Below are 26,271 nucleotides of genomic sequence, written 5' to 3' on the forward strand. Positions count from 1 at the left end.
GGAAATATCACAATACTAAATATATATGCATCTAACACTGGATCTCCCAAATTTATAAAACAATTACTACTAGACCTAAGAAATGATATAGACGGCACCACAATAATAGTGGGGGACTTTAATACTCCACTGACAGCACTAGAAAGGTCATCAAGACAGAAAGTCAACAAAGAAACAATGGACTTAAACTATACCCTACAACAAATGGACTTAATGGATATTTACAGAACATTCTACCCAACAACTGCAGAATACACATTCTATTCATCAGCACATGGAATGCTCTCCAAGACAGATCATATGATAGACCACAAAAGAAGTCTCAGTAATTTTTTTTTTTTTGGAGGCAGAGTCTCACTCTGTCACCAGGCTGGAATACAGTGGTGCAATCTCGCTCACTGCAACCTCCACCTCCCAGGTTCAAGCAATTCTCCTGCCTCAGCCTCCCGAGTAGCTGGGAATACAGCCACGTGCCACCATGCCTGGCTACTTTTTGTATTTTTAGTAGAGACAGGGTTTTGCCACGTTGACCAGGCTGGTTTTGAACTCCTGACCTCAGGTGATCCACCCACCTCGGCCTTCCAAAGTGCTGGGATTACAGGCGTGAGCCACTGTGCCTGGCCCAAGTCTCAGTAAATTTAAGATAACTGAAATTATATCAAGTACTCTCTCAGACCACAGTGGAATAAAATTGGAAATCAACTCCAACAGGAATCCACAAAACCATGCAAACACATGGAAATTAAATAACCTGCTCCTGAATGATCACTGGGTCAACAGAGAAATCAAGATGGAAATTAAAAAAATATTTGAACTGAATGATAATAGTGACACAACCTATCAAAACCTCTGGGATATAGCAATGGTTGTGCTAAGAGGAAAGTTCATAGGATTAAATGCCTACATCGGAAGTCTGAAAGAGCACAAACATGGACCTGGAGAAACAAGAACAATCCAAACCCAAACCCAGCAGAAGAAAAGAAATAATGAAGATCAGAGCAGAACTAAATGAAATTGAAACAAACAACAACAACAACAAAAATACAAAAGATAAATGAAACGATATGCTGGTTCTTTGAAAAGATAAAAAAAAAAAGAAGATAGACCATTAGTGAGATTAACCAAAAAAAGAAGAGAGAAGATCCAAATAAGCTCAATTGGAAACAAAATGGGAGATATTACAACTGATACTAGAGAAATATAAAAGATTATTCAAGGCTTCTATGAACACCTTTATGCATATAAACTAGAAAGCCTAGAAGAGATGGATAAATTCCTGGAAATATGCAACTTTTCTAGATTAAACCAGGAAGATATAGAATCTCTGAGCAGACCAATAACAGGCAGTGAGATTGAAATGGTAATAAAGAAAATTTCCAACCAAAAAAAGTCCAGGACCAGATGGATTCACAGCTGAATTCTATCAGACATTCAAGTAAGAATTAGTACCAATCTATTGACACTATTCCAAAAGATAGAGAGAGAGGGAATCCTCCCTTAATCGTTCTATGAAGCCAGTATCATCTTAATACCAAAAACCAGGGAAGGACATCATAAAAAAAGAAAACTACAGACCAGTATCACTGATGAACACAGATGCAAAAATCCTCAATAAAATACTAGTGAACCAAATCCAACAGCGTATCAAAAAGATAATCCACCATGATCAAGTGGGTTTCATACCAGGGATGCTGGGATGGTTTAACACATATAAGTCAATAAATGTGATACACCACATAAACAGAATCAAAAACGAAAATCATATGATCATCTCAACAGATGCAGAAAATGCATTTGACAGAATCCAACATCGCTTTATGATTAAAACCCTCAGCAAAATCTGCATAGAAGGGATATACCTTAAGGTAATAAAAGCCATTTACAACAAACTCACCATCAACATTCTACTGAATAGGCAAAAGGTGGAAGCATTCCCCCTGAGAACTAGAACAGACAAGGATGCCCACTTTCACCACTATTCAACATAGTACTGGAAGTCCTAGCCAGAGCAATCAGACAAGAGAAATAAATAAAGGGTATCCAAATCAATAAAGAGGAAGTCAAATTGTCACTGTTTGCTGATGATATGATTGTATACCTAGAAAACCCTAAAGACTTATCCAATAAGCTCCTAAAACTGGCAAATAAATTCAGTAAAGTTTTAGGATACAAAATTAATGTATGCCAATCAGTAGCTCTGCTATATACCAACAGTGATCAAGCTGAAAATCAAATCACTCAACCTCTTTCACAATAGCTGCAAAAAAATAAAATACTTAAAAATATACCTAACCAGGGAGGTGAAAGACCTCTACAAGGAAAACTACAAAACACTGCTGAAAGACATCATAGACAACACAAACAAATGGAAACACATCCCATGCTCATGGATGGGTAGAATCAATATTGTGAAAACGACCATACTGTCAAAAGCAGTTTACAAATTCAATGCAATTCCTATCCAAATACCACCACTGCTCTTCAGAAAACTAGAAAAAATAATCCTAAAATTCATATGGAACCAAAAAAGAGCCCACAGAGCCAATGCAAGACTAAACAAAAAGAACAAATCTGGAGGTATCACATTACTCAACATCCAACTATACTATAAGGCGACAGTCATCAAAACAGCATGGAACTGGTTTAAAAATAGGCACATAGACCAATAGAATAGAATAGAGAACCCAGAAATAGAGCCAAATACTTACAGCCAACTGATCTTTGACAAAGAAAATAAAAAAATAAAGTGGGAAAAGGACACCCTATTCAACAAATGGTGTTGGGATAATTGGCAAGCCACATGTAGAAGAATGAAACTGGATCCTCATCTCTCAACTTACACGAAAATCAACTCAAGATGGATCAAATACTTAAATCTAAGGCCGGGCATGGTGGTTCACGCCTGTAATCCCAGCACTTTGGGAGGCCATGGTGGGCAGATCACGAGGTCAGGAGAGCGAGACCATCCTGGCTAACATGATGAAACCCCACCTCTACTAAAAAAAAAAAAAAAATACAAAAAATTAGCTGGGCGTGGTGGCAGGCGCCTATAGTCCCAACTACTCCGGAGGCTGAGGCAGGAGAATGGCGTGAACCTGGGAGGCAGAGCTTGTAGTGAGCCGAGATGGCGCCAGTGCACTCCAGCCTGGGCGACAGAGTGAGACTCCGTCTCAAAAAAAAAAAAGACTTACATCTAAGACCTGAAACCATAAAGATTACAGAAGATGACACTGGAAAACCCCTCTAGCCATTGGCTTAGGCAAAGACTTAATGACCAAGAACCCAAAAGCAAATGCAACAAAAACAAACATAAATAGAAGGGACTTAATTTAACTAAAAAGCTTCTGCACAGAAAAGGAAATAATCAGCAGAGTTAACAGACAACACACAGAATGGGAGAAAATATTCACAATCTATACATCTGACCAAAAGACTAATATCCAGAATTTACAAAGAACTCAAACAAATCAGTAAGAAAAAAACAATCCCACCAAAAAGTGGGCTAAGAACATGAATAGACAATTCTCAACAAAAGATACACAAATGGACAACAAGCATACGGAAAAAATGCTCAACATCAGTAATAATCAGGGAAATGCAAATCGAAACCACAATGCAATACCACCTGACTCCTATAAGAATGGCTATAATCAAGAAATCAAAAAACAATAGATGCTGGCATAGACGCAGTGAAAAGGGAACACTTTTACACTGTTGGTGGAAGGTAAACTAGTACAACCACTATAGAAAACAGTGTGGAGGTTCCTTAAAGAACTAAAAGTAGATCTACCATTTGATCCAGCAATCCCACTACTAGGTATTTACCCAGAGGAAAAGAAGTCATTATATGAAAAAGATACTTGCAAACACATGTATACAGCAGTACAATTTGCAACTGCAAAAATATGGAACCAGCCCAAATGCCCATCAATCAATGAGTGGATAAAGAAAACGTGGCATATTTATATACACCATGGAATATGACTCAGCCATAAAAGAGAATGAAATAGTGGCATTCACAGCAACCTGGAGGGAATTGGAGACTGTTAATCTAAGTGAAGTAACTCAGGAATGGAAAACCAAACATCGTATGTTCTCACTCATGTGGGAGCTAAGGCATAAGAATGACGCACTGGACTTTGGGGACTTAGGGGAAAGAATGGGGGTTGGTGAGGGATAAAAGACTACACATTGGGTACAGTGTACACTGCTCGGGTGACAGGTGCACCAAAATCTTAGAAATCATCACTAAAGAACTTATTCATGTAACCAAACATCACCTGTTCTCCAAAACCCTACTGAAATAAACCAAAAAAAACTGAAAATAAGAAAATTTAAAAATTCAGATCTAAATGGTGAATAATTTAAGACAAGTTGTTTTTCCCACAGGTTAAACAGATGAAAAAGAAAAGTTAAAGAGGTATGAAAGAAAACTGCTTTTGCCTCATGATCCAGATAATTTGTATGAAATAACATACTTTCATTTTGTCCCTGGATAAACAGCATGAATCTCTGTTTCTCCAGGGCAATTTTGGTTAAAGGCAATTTTTTTTCTAACTTTGGTGCTGGAAGGCCTTTCTGTTCACTTGTTTGAGGATCAAACAACCCACACTTTTCTACATTATTCAAGAATACATCTAAACTGTCTTACCCATGCTGATCTGAAATTTTGTTTATAAGCTAATAGGCAATATCTGAAACTATGAGAGAGTAGTGCTGCCTACTGGCCACAGTCCACAGTTTAAAGAGCATCGCTGTCCACAACTAGAGGTTGAATAAGTGCAATGATTTGAGTATTTTATTTTAGCATTTTATCCTGATTCATTTATTCCAATGTTGGAAAGTTTTTAAAATACTAGAGAACTGCTACTAATGATAAGAAGGATACATCTCAAAATAAATATGATCGTAACAAAAATAAAAACCATTCCGCATGTCAAATACAGTGGGGTCCAGTCTTAATTGGAAATAAATGACCAGAGATTAAGTCTAAAAAGTAACTTGCCATTAAATATTTTGTAATGTTTTTAGTTATTTAGTAAAGAATAGTAAAACTTCCTCCCCATTACACACAAATTGATTATTTTCACTTTGATACATTGGATTCTCATGAACACAAGTAACATTTAAGAAGTTAACATTTGCTAAGTACATTCTGGGTGTTAGCACTATTTTGTACTTTACATGTATTAAATCTCACACCTGGTAGGTGCTATTCTTATCCCGGTTCTACTGATGAGGAAACTGCCGCTCAGATGAGTTTGGAAGCTTGCCCCAGACCTCACACCTGGCTGTGGCATCACAGGCAATGATTTCATTGGACAATATGTCTCAACTATGTTTTGTTCCTACTTTTTTCCTTACCACCAGTTTAGAAGTTGAATGCGTTTATTTTGGTACTGCTAGCATTTAGACTTTACATAGACTGAGAAAACTGTATTTAAGAAAAATGTAGGCTAATCAATATTAGCCACTGTGCATCATAGGCCAGCTGACACAGGAGGGGAGCCAAATGTAAAAGAGAAACACATGATACTTAGTTCAGACCTATTTCTAGTGTTGCTATATGAGTTTCAAAAATAAATACGTAAGAAAGGAAATCTAGTGGGAAAAAATTAGTATCTCTGAACCTAATTCTAACAATTCCCCAAAGCTATATGTTAGTGAAGCTGATGGAGGAGAAGATCCCATGGCTCAAGAGTTATCAATCTTCTTTGAATTTTGCACCCAATATGTCCTTCAAGCCTCCTTTTATCAATCACACCCCTCCACAGGCATTCATTTGCTATTTTCAAAAAATCCTTACAGTTAAAAAACAAAGTAATTGAGTTTTAGGGTTCCTTTAAAGAACTACGTGACTAATTAGCAAATAGTCTCAATAAAAGAATGCCTGCTATGCACCAGGCATTGCGCAAAGTGTCTTGCATATGGAGCTCTTAATCCTCACAAAACTCCCACCGGGTAGATGCTGTCATTATCCCCCAAAGGAAACTAAAGCACTGACAATTGGGTAGCTTGCCCAAAGTTTCAGAGCCAGTTATGTGGCAAAGCCAGACTGTGAACTCAGAGCATGGGCTTTTAACCAGGTTGATCAACAACCCAACATTGCTGGGAATTTCACAAAGATGTTCAATGCAGGTTCTCCTCAATCAACGTTATTCCCTCTGGCAGAGTGGGCCTGAGATCCATCTTTTTATTTATTTATTTTTTTGCGACCGAGTCTCGCTCTGTCACCCAGGCTGGAGTGCAGTGGTGCAATCTCGGCTCACTGCAACCTCCGCCTCCCAGGTTCAAGCGATTCTCTTGCCTCAGCCTCCTGAGTAGCTGGGACTACAGATGCCTGCCACCATGCCTGTCTAATTTTTGTATTTTTGGTAGAGATGAGGTTTCACCATGCTGGCCAGGCTGATTTCGAACTCCTGACCTCAAGTGATTTGCCAGCCTTGGCCTCCTAATGTGCTAGGATTACAGCAGGTGTGAGCCACTGCAGCCGGTCGATTTTTTTTTTTTTTTTTGAGATGGAGTCTCATTCTGTCACCCAGGCTGGAGTGCAGTGGCATGATCTCGGCTCACTGCAGCCTCTGCCCCCTGGGTTCTAGCAATTCTCCTGTCTCAGCCTCCCAAGTAGCTGGGATTACAGGCATGCGTCACCATGCCTGGCTAAGTTTTGTATTTTTAGTAGAGACAGGGTTTCCTCATGTTGGCCAGGCTGGTCTCAAACTCCTGACCTCAGGTAATCCACCCGCCTTGGCCTCCCAAAGTGCTGGGATTACAAGTGTGAGCCACCGCGACTGGCCTATCTTTTTAGTAAAAGTTATAATTTCTCCACCCCCTCAGACATTATAACAGACCCATGTCTCTCTCATGTTCAATAAACCACATCCTAATTTTCTGCAGCAAATAGGCTCTTACTGAACAAAAGCCAATTAGAAAATTGCCTTTGATTTTCAATGACGTGCCTAAATTATGGAGCATCACTACATTTCAGATAAAAATAAAAAATATTTTGGGGTACAGAATGAACTATGTTCTCATTCTCTCTCTCTCTCTCTCACTCCACGTATCATTTTCTCAGCTTTCCTTTTTTGGTTTTAATAGCCAGTGAAATAATTTTACAACCACAAATTTTAATAACAAGAAAAGGAAAAGAATTTCACGCCAAAACATTTAAAAGCTTTCTGTACTGTGACAAAAATACTCTGAGAGCCCAGCAAGCCCAGCAACTCCCCCACTCCTTTCTTATTTATGAGATGCTTTGGATACAGATTTATTTTCTTTTCTTGTTCCATGTTATTTTTTTCCACCTGTCTTGAAATGGAAGCTGCAGGGGCTTTGATAAATGGCTTGAAATTTTCCCTTGTTTTACTGCAAAGCCTGTGTACCTCTGTACATCCTTCTGAAATGCCATTTGTTAGTTTCTGTTGAAATGCTGCTCTGTGAATCACAGCAGACAGCTCTCAGCCCCTAGAGAAAGGGGAGATGGCTACTTCCCTTTCCAAAACACCAGAGTTTTTTCACTTTGGGAAAGTAGTACCAACCAGCTGAAAATATTATGAGTTATTTTGTAGTGAGCACCCAAGGCGCTGTTTGGGTATCTAGTCTGAGTATCTAGTTCCTGGAAATCAGTTTCTTTTCTGTTACCTGCCTGTCAGTTTTTCAGCGGAATGATTTCAATCACACATCCAAGGGAAAATATAAGCTCTAAGACAGAAAATCTCTAAACTTATTCTGTGCCCATACACCATGGCCACTGGAGAGCTAGAGTAAACCTTAAATATAATCTAGGCTGGTCTTCTTATTTTATAGACAAAAAAACTGAGCCCCTGGTGGAGAGTAGCAGTGCTCAAACTTGAGCAGGCATCTGAATTTCTTGGAGGACTTGTTAAAGCACTGATTGCTGGCCCCACCCCAAGTCTCATCCAGTAGGCCTGGGGTGAGGCCAAAGAATCTGCATCTCTAATAAATCCCCAGGTGATACAGATGTTGCTAGTTGAGGACTCTTTGAGACCCACTGGTAGAGAGGATAGCTCATCTCAAATGACACAGGTAATGTCAGGAGATCTAGAATCCAGATCTACCATTCCTCAAATCCCCATGCAGCTTCTATATTATATCACGCTTTAATCCACTGGTTCCCAGGTGCACATGCATTTTAAATATACTTGCTGTTCCTTGTCTCTGTGCTCAGGACTCTTGTCAATAAAACAAACCCCTTTATTCAGAAACAGGAATTATAATTTAGAAGCTTCTCACTCCAATGACTCAAATTTCTCACTAAAATAATATGTATTAGCACCTCCGCAGGGAAGTAGCAAACTGTAATCAGGCAATATTTCTACTCTTGAATGCTTCCTGGTTGGGAAAACAGTACTGGCACTAGCCTGAATGATTTTTAAATGATACGTGTTTTTCAATTACCAGTGCCATGCTAGTCCTTTATTAGCGTGGATAATAAAGAGATGATGATAACAATGCTTGCCAGATGGCATAGCGTGGGGAAAGCCTTTGAGGATTCAGGAGTTAATATTTGTGTTATAATAGCGTCTACATTTGCTGAACAAATACAGCATTAAAAGCAACCTTTAAAACAAATCACATTGAGTGAATATTCACTTAATCTATGAAAAGCCCTATTCAAGGCTATTTCTTGAGGCTGGTGGTTCAAGGTCATGTTCTGTAAGGGGAAAAGAGGTCATCTAGGAACTCTGTCAAATGATACATGCCTCCCTCTCCTCACCTCTTCACCCAGGAGAAATGAATATGTGGGTGTTTCAATAAGCTCCTGAGAACAGCAGTTCTCTGTCTTAGATGCACCTGAAAATCCCCTGGGGAGCTTTAAAAAAAATCCTGGTGTCCAGGTTCTAGCCCAAATCAGTTCAATGAGAAGCTCTGTGGTTGGGAGCCAGGCGGTTGGATTTTTAAAGCTCCCCAGAACATTGATTCCAGTGTCCTTCCAAGGTTGAGAACCACTTTCCAAATCATTCTCAAGAATATCAGAATCTCCTAGAGGGCCTGTTAAACCCCAGGTTGCTGGGCCCCACCTCAAGAGCTTCAGATTCAGTAGGTCTGGAATGGAGCCAAGAATGTGCATTCATACAAGTTCTTAGGTGCTGCCGATGGCTTCTGGACCATACTATAAGAACCACTGCTCCAAAGCCACATTAACCAAATGCAAGCGCATGTTAGGGAGCTATTCACAGCAGCCCATGGAGCTGGTGCCCTTGACTCCCCCTGTACTAGGTGTTGGATTGGGCAGTGACTCTTAGTGAAATGACTGCTTTAGATAGGACATACATTCTTTGAGTTGACATGGGCCCCACCACTCTCTCCTCACCTGGTTGCTTACACATTTGAATAATGAGGCTGTTGAAGGCCTCTGACTTTGTAACCCCCAACATGGACCAGTGTCCCAAAGATCCTTACAAGTAGCCTCTAGGAATCTTCAGATTCTGCTGTTGGTCCCTCTCCATATGTAACAGGAATTTATTAATAAGAATCAATAGATTGGATGAAAACAGAGAAGACAGTCTATCAAACCTGACCTAAGAGAGAGACATGGTGAATATCCTGAGAGCAGAAAAATAACTGTGACAAGGTGTTGGCACTGATACTGATGGGCTTCACACCAGGCACTCCAAATGCAAAATTCCAATTATCTTCCCAACCACCCAACAAAACAAGTGACGAGGTACCTGTTATGGTTCTCATCCTATGGATGAGGTCAGAACTTGCAACTTGGGCAAGACAATGGCTAGTAAGTGGCAGAGTCACCACTTCAATTCTGCAGCTTTTTTCCCCTTTAGGTTCAAAAGGTCTTTGGTGACTAGGAATATGGGGTCCATTAGCAAGAAGAAATTTAATCAGAGAAATGTGAAGTCCCATAAAAAAGAGTTTTAGAAATTCAAGCACATGTCTAGAGATTAAGGGAAATCTGGCTCATGAATAATTCATGATATCCCAGCTCCTCATCATTAAAATTTGATTCTTTAAGGTGAGGCACAAAGGTGCCTCATGAAAGAAACACCCAGGAAGATGCTAGGGATCTAGGCCAATAGATTCTAAGCCCCCTGGATTCCCCAGTGTACCTCCCTCTCTGATGGACATCCTCTTCTCTTTGCCTGGCCTCCTTAACACTTCCGCTCATCTCTCTCATTCCATTCACCCACCTGCTACCTCCTGGTCCCAGCCTTGGCTCTGTTTCTCTGGGCTGGACAACTCCACAACTTTACCCCTGGTGTGATACCCCAGGTTCAATGAAGCTCTAAGACCACCTCCAAGTGTCACTAAGGGAATATCCTCCCTGAAAATGTTCTGAAACCAAGCAGAGTCCATGACCGTTCAATTTATCAACTAAGAGTTGGAGCTGCCAACAAGTCCAAGAGGAGTCAACTTCATGTGGCAGCCAGAAGGCTATGCCATGTTGGGTTTTATTAATATTAGCACAACAAGAACAGAAGAGGTTCCACTGGACTGGGCCCTGCCCAGGTCACATGTGGACACGATGCACAGTCTGCAGGCCACAATGCAACCCAGTTCCTGATACACAAGAAATCGTGCACACAAGAGTGGCCAGAAAGAAGCAGATATATCAGAGGAGAGAGGCATGTCAGAAAAGTTGGAAAAAAAAAAAAAAGCCAGTTATTTAGCCCAGGAAATAAAAAGAAAGGTGTGTGAGGTGCAGTGATTAACTGAGATGGAAGTTGTACTAACTTCCGTTGTTAGTTGGACTAACAACGTCTTCAGGCATCTGAAAGGGTATTGACAGTATTCTGTGCCACTACAGAAACAGGAATAGCAGAGAAGATTTTGTCCTGAGCAATACTGTAGTCAGGGCTGGCTGTATACAGCAGAGACACTGTCTAGGGAAGGGAAAGGCAAATAACCACTAGATGCCTTGCAACCCCTAGAGTTCCTTCTTCTCATCACACAATTTTGGACGTCCACTACTACGCAAGGCACTGTGCAAGACAGAAATGATACATTTCATCCAAAGATGTGTTTAAAACAAAAATAGTACCTGCCTTCAAGTAACTTCTATTTCAGAAGTGAGTTATTAAAAGTCTTAACAATACAGAAAGACACACACACACTCATAAATTACACAGGAAAACACAATGAAAGATCATACACCAACGATTCTGAATTTAAGGCAAACTTTCCTAGTTAAAAAATAATACTCTTTTAAATTTACTCTTAGAAAAGGCCGTGTACTGCCAGGTATGTAATTCATGAAAATCTGAATTGACTCTCGCCACTTCATTATTTTGAAGAAGCAGAATTAAGACTTCCTGAATAAAAGAAAACACTGGAACATATTTTATTTGGTATGTTGATTCAACAGTCAATACAAAGAATTACCATAAAAACTCAATTAAAAAATGCTTTGGGAATAAATTTCCTTTAAAATTGAAGCTGGTTATGATTTTTAAAAAAGTCTTTATGAATAATGAAATAGTATTGTCAAGGTTTATAAAGATATTTGCAATTTTTCTACTCAGCTGAGTGCATGGGGGATTTGGAACAATCCAGATATCATGGCTCATTCTAGCAACAATGTCCTATTCTTTCTTCCCTTACTTCCCAGCTCCTCCTTGTACCACTCCTTTTATGACCCCCTTTCTCCCACCTCTCGTCACTTTAAAACAAGGGATAAATACATGTCATGTACAGTAGGCATCTCTGTCTCCCTTTTTCATTCATCCCCAGGGAGAGCACAGGCTATGATGTCCAACAAAGAACACAGCACATGTGCAAACATCACTCCAAGGTGGGTCTTGATAATCCATCATGAAGCCCATTCTCCTGGAGCCCAGCACAGCTTTCCAGGCAGCCTCTGGTGAGGAACGACCATCAGCATGGGAGGGGAAACCTCTCTGCCATGGTGAAGTGAGGAGCTGATCAAGCTGCAGCTGTTACACATGGACTCCCAGGAAGTCAAAGGCATGCAGAGATTTCTCCAGAACCTAGCACCATCTGGCCCTAGCATAGGGCTGCAGCACAGTTAGTAACTGCAAAAGCAGGGGAGGGACAAAAACCTTTCTCCCTGAAGATGTTCTTCAGTGCTTTATTTATAATAGCAGAAGGATGTAGATGGTGACGATGGTGATAACAACAGCTGCAATTGTGGGGGTAGGAGCCAACACATACATAGCAGTCACTAGTGCCAAGTACTGCTCTAAGCCAGGGGTTAGCCAACTACAGCCCAGGAGCCAAATGCTTTTTGTACAGTTGAGAGTCTAAAATGTTTTTTCTTTTACATTTTTAAATAGTTTTTTAATCAAAAGAAAAAAATCTGTGATGTGAAAATGACATGAAATTCAAATTTCAGCATCCATAACAAAAGTCATATTGGAACTCAGTCATACTTATTGATTTGCATACTGTCTGTGGCTGCTTTCACATCAGGGAGCAGAATCCAGAAGCTGTGACACAGCCTTGCATATGGCTCACAAAACTTAAAAATATTTACTACCTGGCCCTTTATGGGAAACATTTGCAGACTCTTGTTCTAAGTGTTTGATCCTCCCAGCGACCCATGAATTAATCAGAAAATCAGTCCTTGTACAAAGTTAAAAACTCCTTAATCAAAAGTTCAAAATCTTAATTAACAAAGAAATGCTAATATTTTGCTCCCTGAACAACACAGTGGCCCCTTTGTAAATGTTTAATGTTTTGTTCCCCTGGATACTGTAATGATTTTATAGACTCCCAAATGTCTCACTCAACAAATTATCTGTCCTGCAAATGTTATGTTGAAAGGAATGTTTTCAGTAACCTTAGCTCATGGCTAGAAGGTCCCCATTCCCCTGCCAGCTAGTATCACAGTGACTCAATGCCCAAATTTTGTGTCTTAGGCACAAAATTTCTTCTCCTCTTTTTTTTAAAGGCAAACCTCAGATGGGGCCTTTGATATATTCAGACATAAAAGACAACATCTAATTTTGACATGCTAGGGATCTGAGCCATGGCTGGTAAACATAGCTTACCTCCCTTCAATATACTTCTTATAAATGGCAACATCTGAAGACTTTGGTCTCTTTTTTACAACAGGCTATGCGGAATTCTTTTTTTTTTTTTCTTTAACAGGCTACATATAACTCTTAGACCTATTTTAAAGATTAACAGACTGAGACAAACAGAGATTAAACATCTTGCCCACATTCACACAATCAGTGTGTTGACATTTGAACCCAACCGTCCAGAGTCCACGTACTTAACTACTACACTAAAAAAAAAAAAATTGTTAACTACATGATGGAAAATCGACTGTAGGGAACACTATGCAACATTTATGTGCATAGAGTATTTACTTATGATGAATGAAAAGGGTAGAAATATAAAATGCATGCTAGTTGTATTTTGTATACAATCTCTATAGTAGTATATAGTCCTTGTCAATATATGTTTTATATAGAATATTTTCTATGTATTATTATATAAAGTATACATGGATTAGCAGTATCAAGACAAAGACTTAGCATAATTATGTATTTTTTGAATGCATTAAAATCTGGAAGGAAATTTGCCAAAGTAGTAGTAATAATGATTTGTAGTGGTGGGAAGACAGGTAATTTTTTTCTATCTGTCCATATCTTTCTAACTTTTTGTAAATAAAGATGCATCGATTTTCACTTATATTTGACTAGGGGTATGCCCACTGTTCTCTAACAAGGAAATAAATTCATTTTGCAGGAGAACATGAGAAACAGTTTGGCTTCTCATCCTCGACCCTGCTCAAGTACTCGCTGAAGCGCCTCCCTGCAGGTCAGCATCCAGCTGTGCCAGAGGGACTCACGCTGGGCAGAAAGGCTCATGCCCACCTGCCCAAGTCAGCCCTCTGCAGTCAGTGTGAGTGGCCTGCATTCTGCCCACATCATTTCAAACAGTGTGGGGAGACTAGGGTGTGGATAGAAGAGGCCAGGAAGAGGATCTGTCTGATTTGAATCCTCAGAGTCAGGGGCAATCTCAGGTCCTGAGGTCTCTTGGGTTTGGGCCCCTCCAGGGTGTTTGCCCAACTTTCCTTTCCTGCCAGGGAATAGCCCTCTGGGCTTTAAAAAACCCCCATCCTTTATTGTAATCCTTGAAGCCTACACCTCCTGGAGCCTGACCGTTCACACTACACTTCACAGTTCGTCAGGGGGACTGTATGAGGACGGCTTCAGCACAGGTGAATCAATTCATCACCAACTGGGCAATTAGGCCGGCTCCCGGTGGTCCCCTGTAAATATTGAGAACTGGGTAACAAAATCCTAATGGGGCCTTCTAGCTCCCAAGCCTTCCGACCTGTAAATATTCAGGGTAAACATATTGGGTTGAACCACTTAAGTGACACTATCTGGCCATTTTTGACGTACAAAAATGTAATGTTATCATATGATTCAACCTAATAGCTAAACAGACGCATTCGGCCCCTGTGATCCTGAAAGTTTCTGACAGGAGATGGTTTTCTGGAGAACATATTGGAAATAATTCCAGCGGGAATCAGCCAGAGCTGAGGATAAAAAGACAAGAGAGATGGACATAGTTCTGGTTTAAAAATCAGTGTTGAAATTAAAATTTCAAATTAACTTTTTTCAAATGCATCGTGTGACACCCCACGATAAAGCTAACAAATACCGAGGAGAAATTTTCCACTCTCTTTCTCTGTCAAGGGTCAGGAGCAACAGAAATACGGTGACTTCTGCTTCAGTTTTGTTTTAGCCCATGGAAATCTGCCCACCTGCCAACAGAGCAACTGTGCCTTTCCCAGCCCTGAGAACAAGCTTTTGGGAATGAGGATTTGAGTCCATTGCCAACCAGAAAAGTAATAACCTTGATGAAGGATGAAAGTATTGGAAATGTTAGGTAAATAGCATGTGAATGCCACATTGCCCCTAACCTTAGCAAACAGATTAGATGGAGTCAAAAACTACTATGTTAAAAAATAAAAAATAAAGCTTTGGTGTCCTTGTGAACCTCATGCAGTCATGGTTCCAGGTACAGTCTAACATGACCTTGGATATCAGAGGAAGCGGTGCCTGAAATCTGGATGATAGGAGGTGGCTGTTCTCCTGCAAACCCAAAGCAGAGGTTGGGAAGGCCTGGCCCACGAACGCTGCCCTGAGCTGCCAGGGCTGTGTGGGACTGGTCTTCATTTGAAGCTGGGTGCAGAGAAAGTGACTGCCTGAGAAAACCTGGGTGAGAGGTCTGGATCTCCCAGGTATGTTCTGGCACCTTGAGCAATGTTGGGGCTTTTTTTTTTTTTTTTATGTTTTTCAAACCTCAACAGTAACAGCCACTTAGTTTATAGAATGTAGCAAGTGTGATCCCGTTTTTGTACAGCAATGATCAAATATACCTATGTGTGCATGTGTGTGGATGAGTGTGTACGTGCATGTGCACATGTATACACACGATCGTAAAAGCATTTAGAAATGGTGGGAAGCATACACTCAGATGGCTAACACTCAGCACCGGAAAGAAGGGAGGCTGAAAAAGAGAGGGGTAGCTTCATTTAGTGAAGTTAAGGAGAAAAGGCTCTGGTTTAAAAAAGAAGAAAATGAAAGGAACAGAATTTGCGATATAAACTTCTATGTAAATATATTAGAAAGCACCAGATTATCAATCTACTTAGATGTGAGCATGTTCATGATGAACTGAGAAATGAAAAAAGCAAGTTTTTGTATAATGTGTATAAGCTGGTTGTGTTGGAGCAAAATCCAAACAAATGGTAGTTATCTCTGCATATGTCTCCAAGGGGTATCTGCCGGAGCGGACACCTATAAGGGACACACGTGGGGAAGGATCCATCAAGCTGCTCAGAGAAGGAGTGAGGGGCAGGAAAAGCTGGAACCAATTTCTGAAAGTGTATTTTTTGATAGTAATTATACTAACCTCAACCTCCTCCAACAAGTAGGCACTTCGGGAATTATATCTCACAGAAAAATGACTTTAAGAATAGACTTACGGGTCACTTCCAAGATGGCCAAATAGAAACAGCTCCGGTCTACAGCTCCCAGTGATATTGACGCAGCAGACGGGTGATTTCTACATTTCCAACTGAGGTACCTGGTTCATCTCACTGGGACTGGTTGAATAGTGGATGCAGCCTATGGAGGGCGAGCCAAAGCAGGGTGGGGCATCACCTCACCCGGGAAGCACAAGGGGTCCAGGGATTTCCCTTTCCTAGCCAAGGGAAGCTATGAGTGACTCTACCTGGAGGAACGGTACACTCCTGCCAAAATACCGTGCTTTTCCCACAGTCTTCACAATCGGCAGACCAGGAGATTCCCTCCTGTGCCTGGCTTGGCTGGTCCCACGCCCACAGATCCTTGGGATGCTAGCACAGCAATCTAAGATCAACCTGGGATGCTGGAGCCTGGCAGGGGGAGGGGTGTCTGCCACTGCTGAGGCTTGAGTAGGCGGTTCTATGTTCACAGTGTAAACAAAGCAGCAGGGAAGCTCAAACTGGGCAGAGCCCACCACAGCTCAGCAAGGCCTACTGCCTCTCTAGATTCCACCTCTGGAGGCAGGGCGTATCTGAACAAAAGGCAGCAGACATCTTCTGCAGACTTAAACATCTCTACCAGACAGCTCTGAAGAGAGCAGTGGTTCTCCCAGCACAGGGTTCAAGATCCGATAATGAACAGACTGCCTCCTCAAGCAGGTCCCTGACCCCCGAGTAGCCTGACTAGAAGACACCTCCCAGTAGGAGCAGACAGACACCTCATACAGGTGGGTGCCCCTCTGGGACAAAGCTTCCAGAGGAAGGATCAGGCAGCAATATTTGCTGTTCTACAGCCTCCAGGGGTGTTACCCAGGCAAAAAGGGTCTGGAGTGGACCTCCAGCAAACCGCAACAGACCTGAAGCTGAGGGGCCTGTCTGTTAGAAGGAAAACTAACAAACAGAAAGGAATAGCATCAACATCAACAAAAAAGGACATCCACACCAAAACCTCATCTGTAGGTCACCAACGTCAAAGACCAAAGTTAGATAAAACCACAAAGATGGGGAGAAACCAGAACAGAAAGGCTGAAAATTCCAAAAACCAGAGCACCTCTTCTCCTCCAAAGGATCGCAGCTCCTCTCCAGCAAGGGAACAAAACTGCATGGAGAATGAGCTTGACGAGCTGACAGAAGTAGGCTTCAGAAGGTCGGTAATAACAAACTTCTCCGAGCTAAAGGAGCATGTTCTAATCCACCACAAGGAAGCTAAAAACCCTGAAAAAAGGTTAGATGAATAGCTAACTAGAACAACCAGTGTAGAGAAGAGCTTAAATGACCTGATGGAGCTGAAAACCACAGTACGAGAACTGCGTGAAGCATACACAAGCTTCAATAGCCGATTTGATCAAGCGCAAGAAAGGATATCAGTGATTGAAGATCAAATTAATGAAAAAGAGCGAGAAGACAAGATCAGAGAAAAGAGTGAAAAGAAACTAACAAAGCCTCTAAGAAATACGGGACTATGTGAAAGACCAAATCTACATTTGACTAGTGCACCTGCAAATGACGGGGAGAATGGAACCAAGTTGGAAAACACTCTGCAGGATATTACCCAGGAGGGCTTCCCCAATCTAGCAAGGCAGGCCAACATTCAAATTCAGGAAATACACAGAATACCACAAAGATACTCCTTGAGAAGAGCAACCCCAAGACACATAATTGTCAGATTTACCAAGGTTGAAAGGAAGGAAAAAATGTTAAGGGCAGCCAGAGAGAAAGGTCAAGTTACCCACAAAGGGAAGCCCATCAGACTAACAGCGGATCTTTCTGCAGAAACCCTACAAGCCAGAAGAGAGTAGGGGCCAATATTCAACATTCTTAAAGAATTTTCAACCCAGAATTTCATATCCAGACAAACTAAGCTTCATAAGTGAAGGAGAAATAAAATCCTTTACAGACAAGCAAATGCTGAGAGATTTTGTCACCACCAGGCCTGCCTTACAAGAGCTCCTAAAGGAAGCACTAAACATGGATAGGAACAACTGATATGAGCCACTGCTAAAACATGCCAAATTGTAAAGACCACTGATGCTAGGAAGAAACTGCATCAATTAATGGGCGAAATAACCAGCTAGCATCATAATGACAGTATCAAATTCACACATAAGTAACACCAATTACTTAAATGTAAGTGGGCTAAACGCCCTAATTAAAAGACACAGACTGGCAAACTGGATAAAGAGTCAAGACCTATTGGTATGCTGTATTCAGGAGACCCATCTCATGTGCAAAGACAAAGACACATATAGGCTCAAAATAAAGGGATGGAGGAAGAAGCAAACGGAAAGCAAAAAAAAAAAAAAAAAAAAAGCAGGTGTTGCAATCCTGGTCTCTGATAAAACAGACTTTAAACCAACAAAGATCAAAAGAGACAAAGAATGCCATTACATAATGGTAAAGGGATCAATTCAACAGGAAGAGCTAACTATCCTAAATATATATGCACCCAATACAGGAGCATCCAGATTCATAAAGCAAGTTCTTAGAGACCTACAAAGAGACTCAGACTCCCACTAAATAATAATGGGAGACTTTAACACCTCACTGTCAATATTAGACAGATCAACGAGACAGAAAATTAACACGGATATCCAGGAATTGAACTCAGCTATGGACCAAGCAGACCTAATAGACATTTACAGAACTCTCCGCCCCAAATTAAAAGAATATACATTCTTCTCAGCACGACATCGCACTTATTCCACAATTGACCACATAATTGGAAGTAAAACACTCCCCAGCAAATGTAAAAGAACAGAAATTACAACAGACTGTCTCTCACACCACAGTGCCATCAAATTAGAACTCAGGATTAAGAACCTCACTCAAAACTGCACAACTACGTGGAAACTGAACAACCTGCTCCTGAATGACTACTAGGTACATAACAAAATGAAAGTAGAAATAAAGATGTTCTTTGAAACCAGTGAGAACAAAGACACAACGTACCAGAATCTCTGGGACACATTTAAAGCAGTGTGTAGAAGGAAATTTATAGCACTAAATGCCCACAAGAGAAAGCAGGAAAGATCCAAAATTGACACCGTAACAACACAATTAAAAGAACTAGAGAAAAGTAAAAACTTCAAAAGCTAGCAGAAGACAACAAATAACTAAGGTCAGAGCAGAACTGAAGGAGACAGAGATACAAAAAAACCCTTCAAAAAAATCAATGAATCCAGGAGCTGGTTTTTTGAAAAGATCAACAAAATAGATGGACCACTAGCAAGACTAATAAAGAAGAAAAGAGTGAAAAATCAAGTAGATGCAATAAAAAATGATAAAGGGATATCACCACCAATCTCACAGAAATACAAACTACCATCAGAGAATATTATAAACACCTCTACACAAATAAACTAGAAAATCTAGAAGAAATGGATAAATTCGTGGACACATACACCCTCCCAAGACTAAACCAGGAAGTAGTTGAATCTCTGAATAGAACAATAACAGGTTCTGAAATTTAGGCAGTAATAGCCTACCAACCAAAAAAAGTCCAGGACCAGAAAGATTTACAGCCGAATTCTACCACAGGTACAAAGAGGAGCTGGTACCATTTTTTCTGAAATTATTCCAATCAATAGAAAAACAGGGAATCCTCCCTAACTCATTTTATGAGGCCAGCATCATCCTGACACCAAAGCCTGGTGGAGACAAAACAAAAAAAGAGAATTTTAGGCCAATATCCCTGATAAACATCAATGTGAAAATCCTCATTAAAATACTGGCAAACCAAATCGAGCAGCACATCAAAAAGCTTATCCACCACGAGCAAGTCTTCTTCATCCCTGGGATGCAAGGCTGGTTCAACATATGCAAATCAATAAACATAATCCATCACATAAACAGAACCAATGACAAAAACCACGATTATCTCAATAGATGCAGAAAAGGCCTTTGACAAAATTCAACAGCCTTTCATGCTAAAAACTCTCAATAAAATAGGTATTGATGGAATGTATCTCAAAATAATAAGAGCCATTTATGACAAATCCACAGCCAATATCATACTGAATGGGGAAAAACTGGAAGCATTCCCTTTGAAAACTGGCACAAGAAAAGGATGCCCTCTCTCACCATTCCTATTCAACATAGTGTTGGAAGTTCTGGCCAGGGCAATCAGGCAGGAGAAAGAAATAAAGGCTATTCAATTAGGAAAAGAGGAAGTCAAATTGTCTCTGCTTGCAGATGACATGATTGTATATCTAGAAAACCCCATCGTATCAGCCCAAAAATCTCCTTAAGCTGATAAGCAACTTCAGCAAAGTCTCAGGATACAAAATCAATGTGCAAAAATCACAAGCATTCCTATGTACCAAGAATAGAGAGCCAAATCATGAGTGAACTCCCATTCAAATTACTATAAGGAGAATAAAATACCTAGGAATCCAACTTACAAGGGATGTGAAGGAACTCTTCAAGGAGAACTACAAACTACTGCTCAACAAAATAAAAGAGGACAGAAATGGAAGAACATTCCATGCTCATGGATAGGAAGAATCAATATCGTGAAAATGGCCATACTGCCCAAGGTAATTTATAGATTCAATGCCATCCCCATTAAGCTACCAATGACTTTCTTCACAGAATTGGAAAAAACTACTTTAAAGTTCATATGGAACCAAAAAAGAGCCTGCATGGCCAAGTCAATCCTAAGCCAAAAGAACAAAGCTGGAGGCATCACACTACCAGACTTCAAACTATACTATAAGGCTACAGTAACCAAAACAGCATGGTACTGGTACCAAAACAGAGATATAGACCAATGGAACAGAACAGAGCCCTCAGAAATAACACCACACATCTACAACCATCTGATCTTTGACAAACCTGACAAAAACAAGAAATAGGGAAAGGATTCCCTATTTAATAAATGGTGCTGGGAAAACTGGCTAGCCATATGTAGAAAGCTGAAACTGGATTCCCTTCCTTACACCTTATACAAAAATTAACTCAAGATGGATTAAAGACTTAAATGTAAGACCTAACACCATACAAACCCTACAAGAAAACTTAGGCAATACCATTCAGGACATAGGCATTGGCAAAGACTTCATGACTAAAAACACCAAAAGCAATGGCAACAAAAGCCGAAATAGACAAATGGGATCTAATTAAACTAAAGAGCTTCTGCACAGCCAAAGTAACTATCATCAGAGTGAACAGGCAATCTACAGAATGGGAGAAAAATTTTGCAATCTATCCATCTGACAAAGGACTAATATCCAGAATTGACAAAGTACTTAAACAAATTTATAAGAAAAAAACAACCCCATCAAAAAATGGGCAAAGGATATAAATGGACACTTCTCAAAAGAAGACATTTATGCAGCCAACAGCCATATGAAAATATGCTCATCATCACTGACCATCAGAGAAATGCAAATCAAAACCACAATGAGATACCATCTCACACCAGTTAGAATGGCGATCATTAAAAAGTCAGGAAACAACAGGTGCTGGAGAGGATGTGGAGAAATAGGAACACTTTTACACTGTTGGTGAGACTGTAAACTGGTTCAACCATTGTGGAAGACAGTGTGGCGATTCCTCAAGAATCTAGAACTAGAAATACCATTTGACCCAGCCATCCCATTACTGGGTATATACCCAAAGGATTATAAATCATGCTGCTATAAAGACCCATGCACATGTATGTTTATTGTGGCACTATTCGCAATAGCAAGACTTGGAACCAACCCAAATATCCATCAATAATAGACTGGATAATGAAAATGTGGCACGTATACACCAAGGAATATTATGCAGCCATAAAAAAGGATGAGTTCATGTGCTTTGCAGGGACATGGATGAAGCTGGAAACCATCATTCTCAGCAAAATTATCACAAGGACAGAAAACCTAACACCACATGTTCCCACGCATAAGTGGGAGTTGAACAATGAGAACACATGCACACAGGGAGGGGAACATCACACACTGGGGCTGTCGTGGGTAGGGGGGCTGGCGGAGGATAGCATTAGGAGAAATACCTAATGTAAATGACAAGTTGATGGGTGCAGCAAACAAACATGGTACATGTATACCTATGTAGCAAACCTGCACATTGTGCACATGTACCCTACAACTTAAAGTATAATAATAAAAGAATAGGCTTATGGCTCTAAATTGATAATGTTACTTCAAAATACAGCTCTAAAGAAAATTTCACTTAGTATTTTCACAACCATGTTGTCAAAGCATAAAAACTTTCAGGGGGCTGGGCACGGTGGCTCATGCCTGTAATTCCAGCACTTTGGGAGGCCGAGGTGGGTGGATCACCTGAGGTCAGGAGTTCAAGACCAGCCTGGCCAACATGGCAAAACTCCGTCTCTACTAAAATACAAAAATTAGCCAGGCGTGGTGGTGTGCACCTATAGTCCCAGCTACTGGGGAGGCTGAGGCAAGAGAATCACTTGAACCAGGAGGCAGAGGTTGCTGTGAGCCAAGATCATGGCACTGCACTCCGGCCAGGGTGACACAGCGAGACTCTGTCTCAAAAAATAATAATAATAATAATAATTCAGGGGACTAATATACATCAGCCTCATGAAAGGAGAAAGGGAGGAAGAGAGGACGTGAACGGGGCTGTACAACAACTACACCTGTAATGTGCTATTTTATTAATAGTCACAACATAAAGTCACGTTTGAAGAAAATACAGCACAAAGTTAGTATCTGTAAAATCTGAGTGGTAGGCACATACATGAATACCATTTAATTCTGTTTTTTCCCTTATGGCCAAAATATTTCATAATGAAAATTTTAATTTAGACAATCCACATTTTATTAATTAAAAGCACAATGAAACTAGTATCTGACTATCGCAAACTCAAGTAGGTTTGATAATTTCAGGACTTTGTGCTTTAAATATTATGGAACAATACAATGTAAAATCAAAAGTGGTTGTTTGCCAAAAATGCAAATGCGTGCTTGCATTTGATAATACTTTCACAGTGATTATGCTATCTTCTCCCTGTGCTGTATGCTGGTATGTAAAAGAGAGCTGAAATATATTTTCAACAATGAAGAAGGAAGTAAAATATTAAAGCTGACCCTTGGAGATCAGTTTTCATATTACATTTTGTGAAATTCAGTAGATGCCTCTGTTTCTCTAAGAAATATTAATAGGAACATTTCAATCCTCCACAAATGAATCTTTCCTGAACAGACCTGGAGCATATATGCACAGTCTTTGTAAAACCATTCTGAACACATTGGTATGAAATCCTCCCCTGTGTAGAAAATAGCATGCTTTTCCTTCTTATTCCCCCTTTTCCTTCCTGTTTCCCCACTGGCACCCTGATGTGAAGAAGCTTTTGCTGGCTTCTCATGCTGTCAGACAGAACAGCAGAGGAGCAGGGCGGTTTAAAGCTGCCATAGGTACTGCTTCTCTGAGTGGCCCTTTATGTTGGAGGTTGGAAGGAATAAGTCAAAGGACAGCTCAAAAGAATCATAAGTAGCCCCCAAATGTCCCCAGAAGAGCCCACCCTTGAGAGAACAGGTGCCTGGGAGTCCTGTGCCCACCAGTCACGTGGCTTCTGCATGACCAGATGTCCCACCCCAATTGGGCTTTCTGCAGGAGCCAAAGAGCCTGGACCTTCAGGCCTGATGGTCTTCATCAGGTAAGAGGCTGGCTACTTGCAACAGGTGGGAGGAGCAGACATAGGGGGCAGCACAGGGTCACGACTGGCAGCACAGAGGTGGAGAGAGACCAACCTGGGTTCCAATGCAAGCTTCAATATCAGTTGATACTCTTAGAAGGAAAGTTCACCTCTCTAAGGCCACTTCTTCCCCTACAACACTGGAAAGTAATAGTATTACTCTCTCACTGGCCTGCTGTGAGGGTTAAATGACATGATGCCCAGAAAATGCTGTGAACAGGACCCAGAACCAGGTGGGCTCTTGTGAGGAGGCAGCTGTCGACTATGAGCTTTCAGTCTGGAGTGGCGTCAGCATTCTCCACTACATTCTTCTAAAGTTCCCTCTTGAAGAAATCCTGGTTCTTACACCATGCCTGGCTCCCCTCAAGACATCAACTGACCTTGAGCTCTTACTAGACTTCAGATGTCATTCATGTGAAGTCTGGCTTTCTCACTGGCTCCAGGGTTCTGATTCCTGACACCATTCTGAGCCCACACTTATCTTGAATCCCCTAAACATTGTACTTAAGGGGCCTCCTTCCTGAGACTGTTGAACTGTACATATCTCCATCCCCGGGGTTTTATCAACATAATCAGACAATGAATTAAAGAAGCAAAAGTCCCCCAAAATATTGTGGGGATATTCTACCTCTCTATCTCAGTGAATTCAGGAACAGACATTTTCAGTCTCCCACCCGGATGGTCACTTGTTCTATTTATGAAGATTTCTCTGGCAAAGAATTTAACAGCCTTTCTTGTTTTCCACTCATTTATACTTTCAGCAACATCTTACCTGACTTTTGAGTGCTGACCTACATGAGCTACATAAGAAAATACAGCACTGTACTTTGAGTATTCTGTCAATTCAAAACTCATGACCCTAAACCACTTCAAGTATGAAACACTTTAATTACTACCTTAAGAAAATGGCTAGGTACACTAGATAAGGTGATCAATGCAACATTCAAATACACAGGAAACTTCTACTCCCTGTGTTTCATTGATTGGCATTTACCATAAAGGCTTCCACTAAGGCATTATAGAAAGCCTTCAGGTAATCAAATATATATATATATATATATATATATATATGTTAAGCGTGATGTAATCTTCCACATCATCTCAAGTGAGGTGAGTTTGTAAATAGGTCAACACAAAAAAAAAGGGGAGGAGGGAAGGAAAGGAGGGAGAAAAATGGGATTAATGGAAGAGGGAGAGAGATAAGAAAAAGTGCACGGTGGGGGTAAACTGGAACTAAGTAAATTTAATGTCTGATACACTCAATTCCTTCCTAGAGATCATTCTGAAGACCCAACCTTGCGTTTCTGGAGCCTCTGCAAAAAGAGGCTCAAATCCTCAAATCCCCTGAAGGACAAGGATGGTAACTCCAGGAAACTACCACACACATGGTTGAGAGCTTAAAAAACCCCACACCAGGTGCTGGAGGGGCAAAGATGAACAGCTGCCTCGTGGGGCACCACTGCATCCCTAGGCTCTTCTGAAATGTTCTGGCTAGATTCCTTGCACAAGGCCAGCTCTGGCCCCTGAAACTCTTCCATCCACACAAGTAGAATCATTTGCTAATCACATCCGAGTCACTTGATGAAGTCTAAGTCATGCACAGGCTCAGCAATCTACTTTTAAACGTCGTAAACATGCATTTTCATCTCTGCAGATCACTATGAACTACCACCAGGAGCACTTGTCAACCTACAAATATATACCATAATGACAAGTAGTAACTATTTCACTTGAGACGTTTGAATCTTGACAAAGTGAAAAAATTTTTTAAAGTTGAAAACAGGACTTGTAAAAATACAGAATAAATATATGTCAAGATTTACTCAACTCAATAATGAAGAAACCGGCAAAAAAATAAGGCTGATCCAAAGAGAGCTGATGGAGAAGGTGTTTCTAGCCTTTGAAAATTTTAGTATAAAATTGCTAGGTTACATGCAAAGCTGGTTAATGTCCTAAAATGTGTAACACATAGGGTTCTTTTTTCCACTAGACATCTACTGCCAAAAATCTAAACACTAACACACAACTTCCCAGTGTCTAGACTCTAATTAAGAGTAAAAAACAAAAGTTAAAGAAGTTCTCCTGAATAAATAATCCTTGTTCAGGTTTATTTATTTTAAAAATGTTCCAATATGACATTGAAAGGATATGCTGCTCTACTTGGTTGCCTTATTTTCAAGTTTTAAATAATTTTTCTTAACCCATTGGCTATAATTCTACACATTTCAAAGAAAGGAGAATACAGCTATGATTTGAGCCAGTTTCAGTTACAAATACAGATATCTTTCCATTGCTTTTCCTCTTTTCAATTAGAAGGTCATCCTTAAATCAGACCTCTGAATTTCTTACAGTAAAACAAATGTTTGAGTTATTATGGGAAAATTTTTGTGTGTGTTTGTGTGTAGAGACTTTTCTCTCCTGTAATTCTTTTTATTATTAAATATCAGGTATTATAGGGTATAAGCCAGTGTTCTTTTTTTTTTTTTTTATTATTATACTTTAAGTTTTAGGGTACATGTGCACAATGTGCAGGTTAGTTACATATGTATACATGTGCCATGCTGGTGTGCTGCACCCACTAACTCGTCATCTAGCATTAGGTATATCTCCCAATGCTATC

At 40.4% G+C, this 26,271-nt stretch overlaps 1 protein-coding gene across 14 annotated transcripts in view, besides 1 other annotated feature; it reads right to left on the bottom strand.

The window, feature by feature from the left end:
- ELMO1 (engulfment and cell motility 1) overlaps nucleotides 1-26,271 on the bottom strand; it is a 596,421-nt gene that overhangs the window by 284,308 nt on the left and 285,842 nt on the right. The gene's annotated exons all lie outside the window — the stretch shown is intronic.
- Nucleotides 16,465-17,084: an enhancer, noted in NCBI's record as "H3K27ac-H3K4me1 hESC enhancer chr7:37193283-37193902 (GRCh37/hg19 assembly coordinates)". NCBI's record gives its function as "activates a minimal SCP1, AML or CMV promoter by ChIP-STARR-seq in primed H9 embryonic stem cells {active_cell/tissue: H9 hESC(primed)}" and the evidence as "EXISTENCE:reporter gene assay evidence [ECO:0000049][PMID:30033119]".

This window comes from Homo sapiens, chromosome 7 (assembly GCF_000001405.40).
Source record: "Homo sapiens chromosome 7, GRCh38.p14 Primary Assembly".
NCBI lineage: Eukaryota > Metazoa > Chordata > Mammalia > Primates > Hominidae > Homo > Homo sapiens.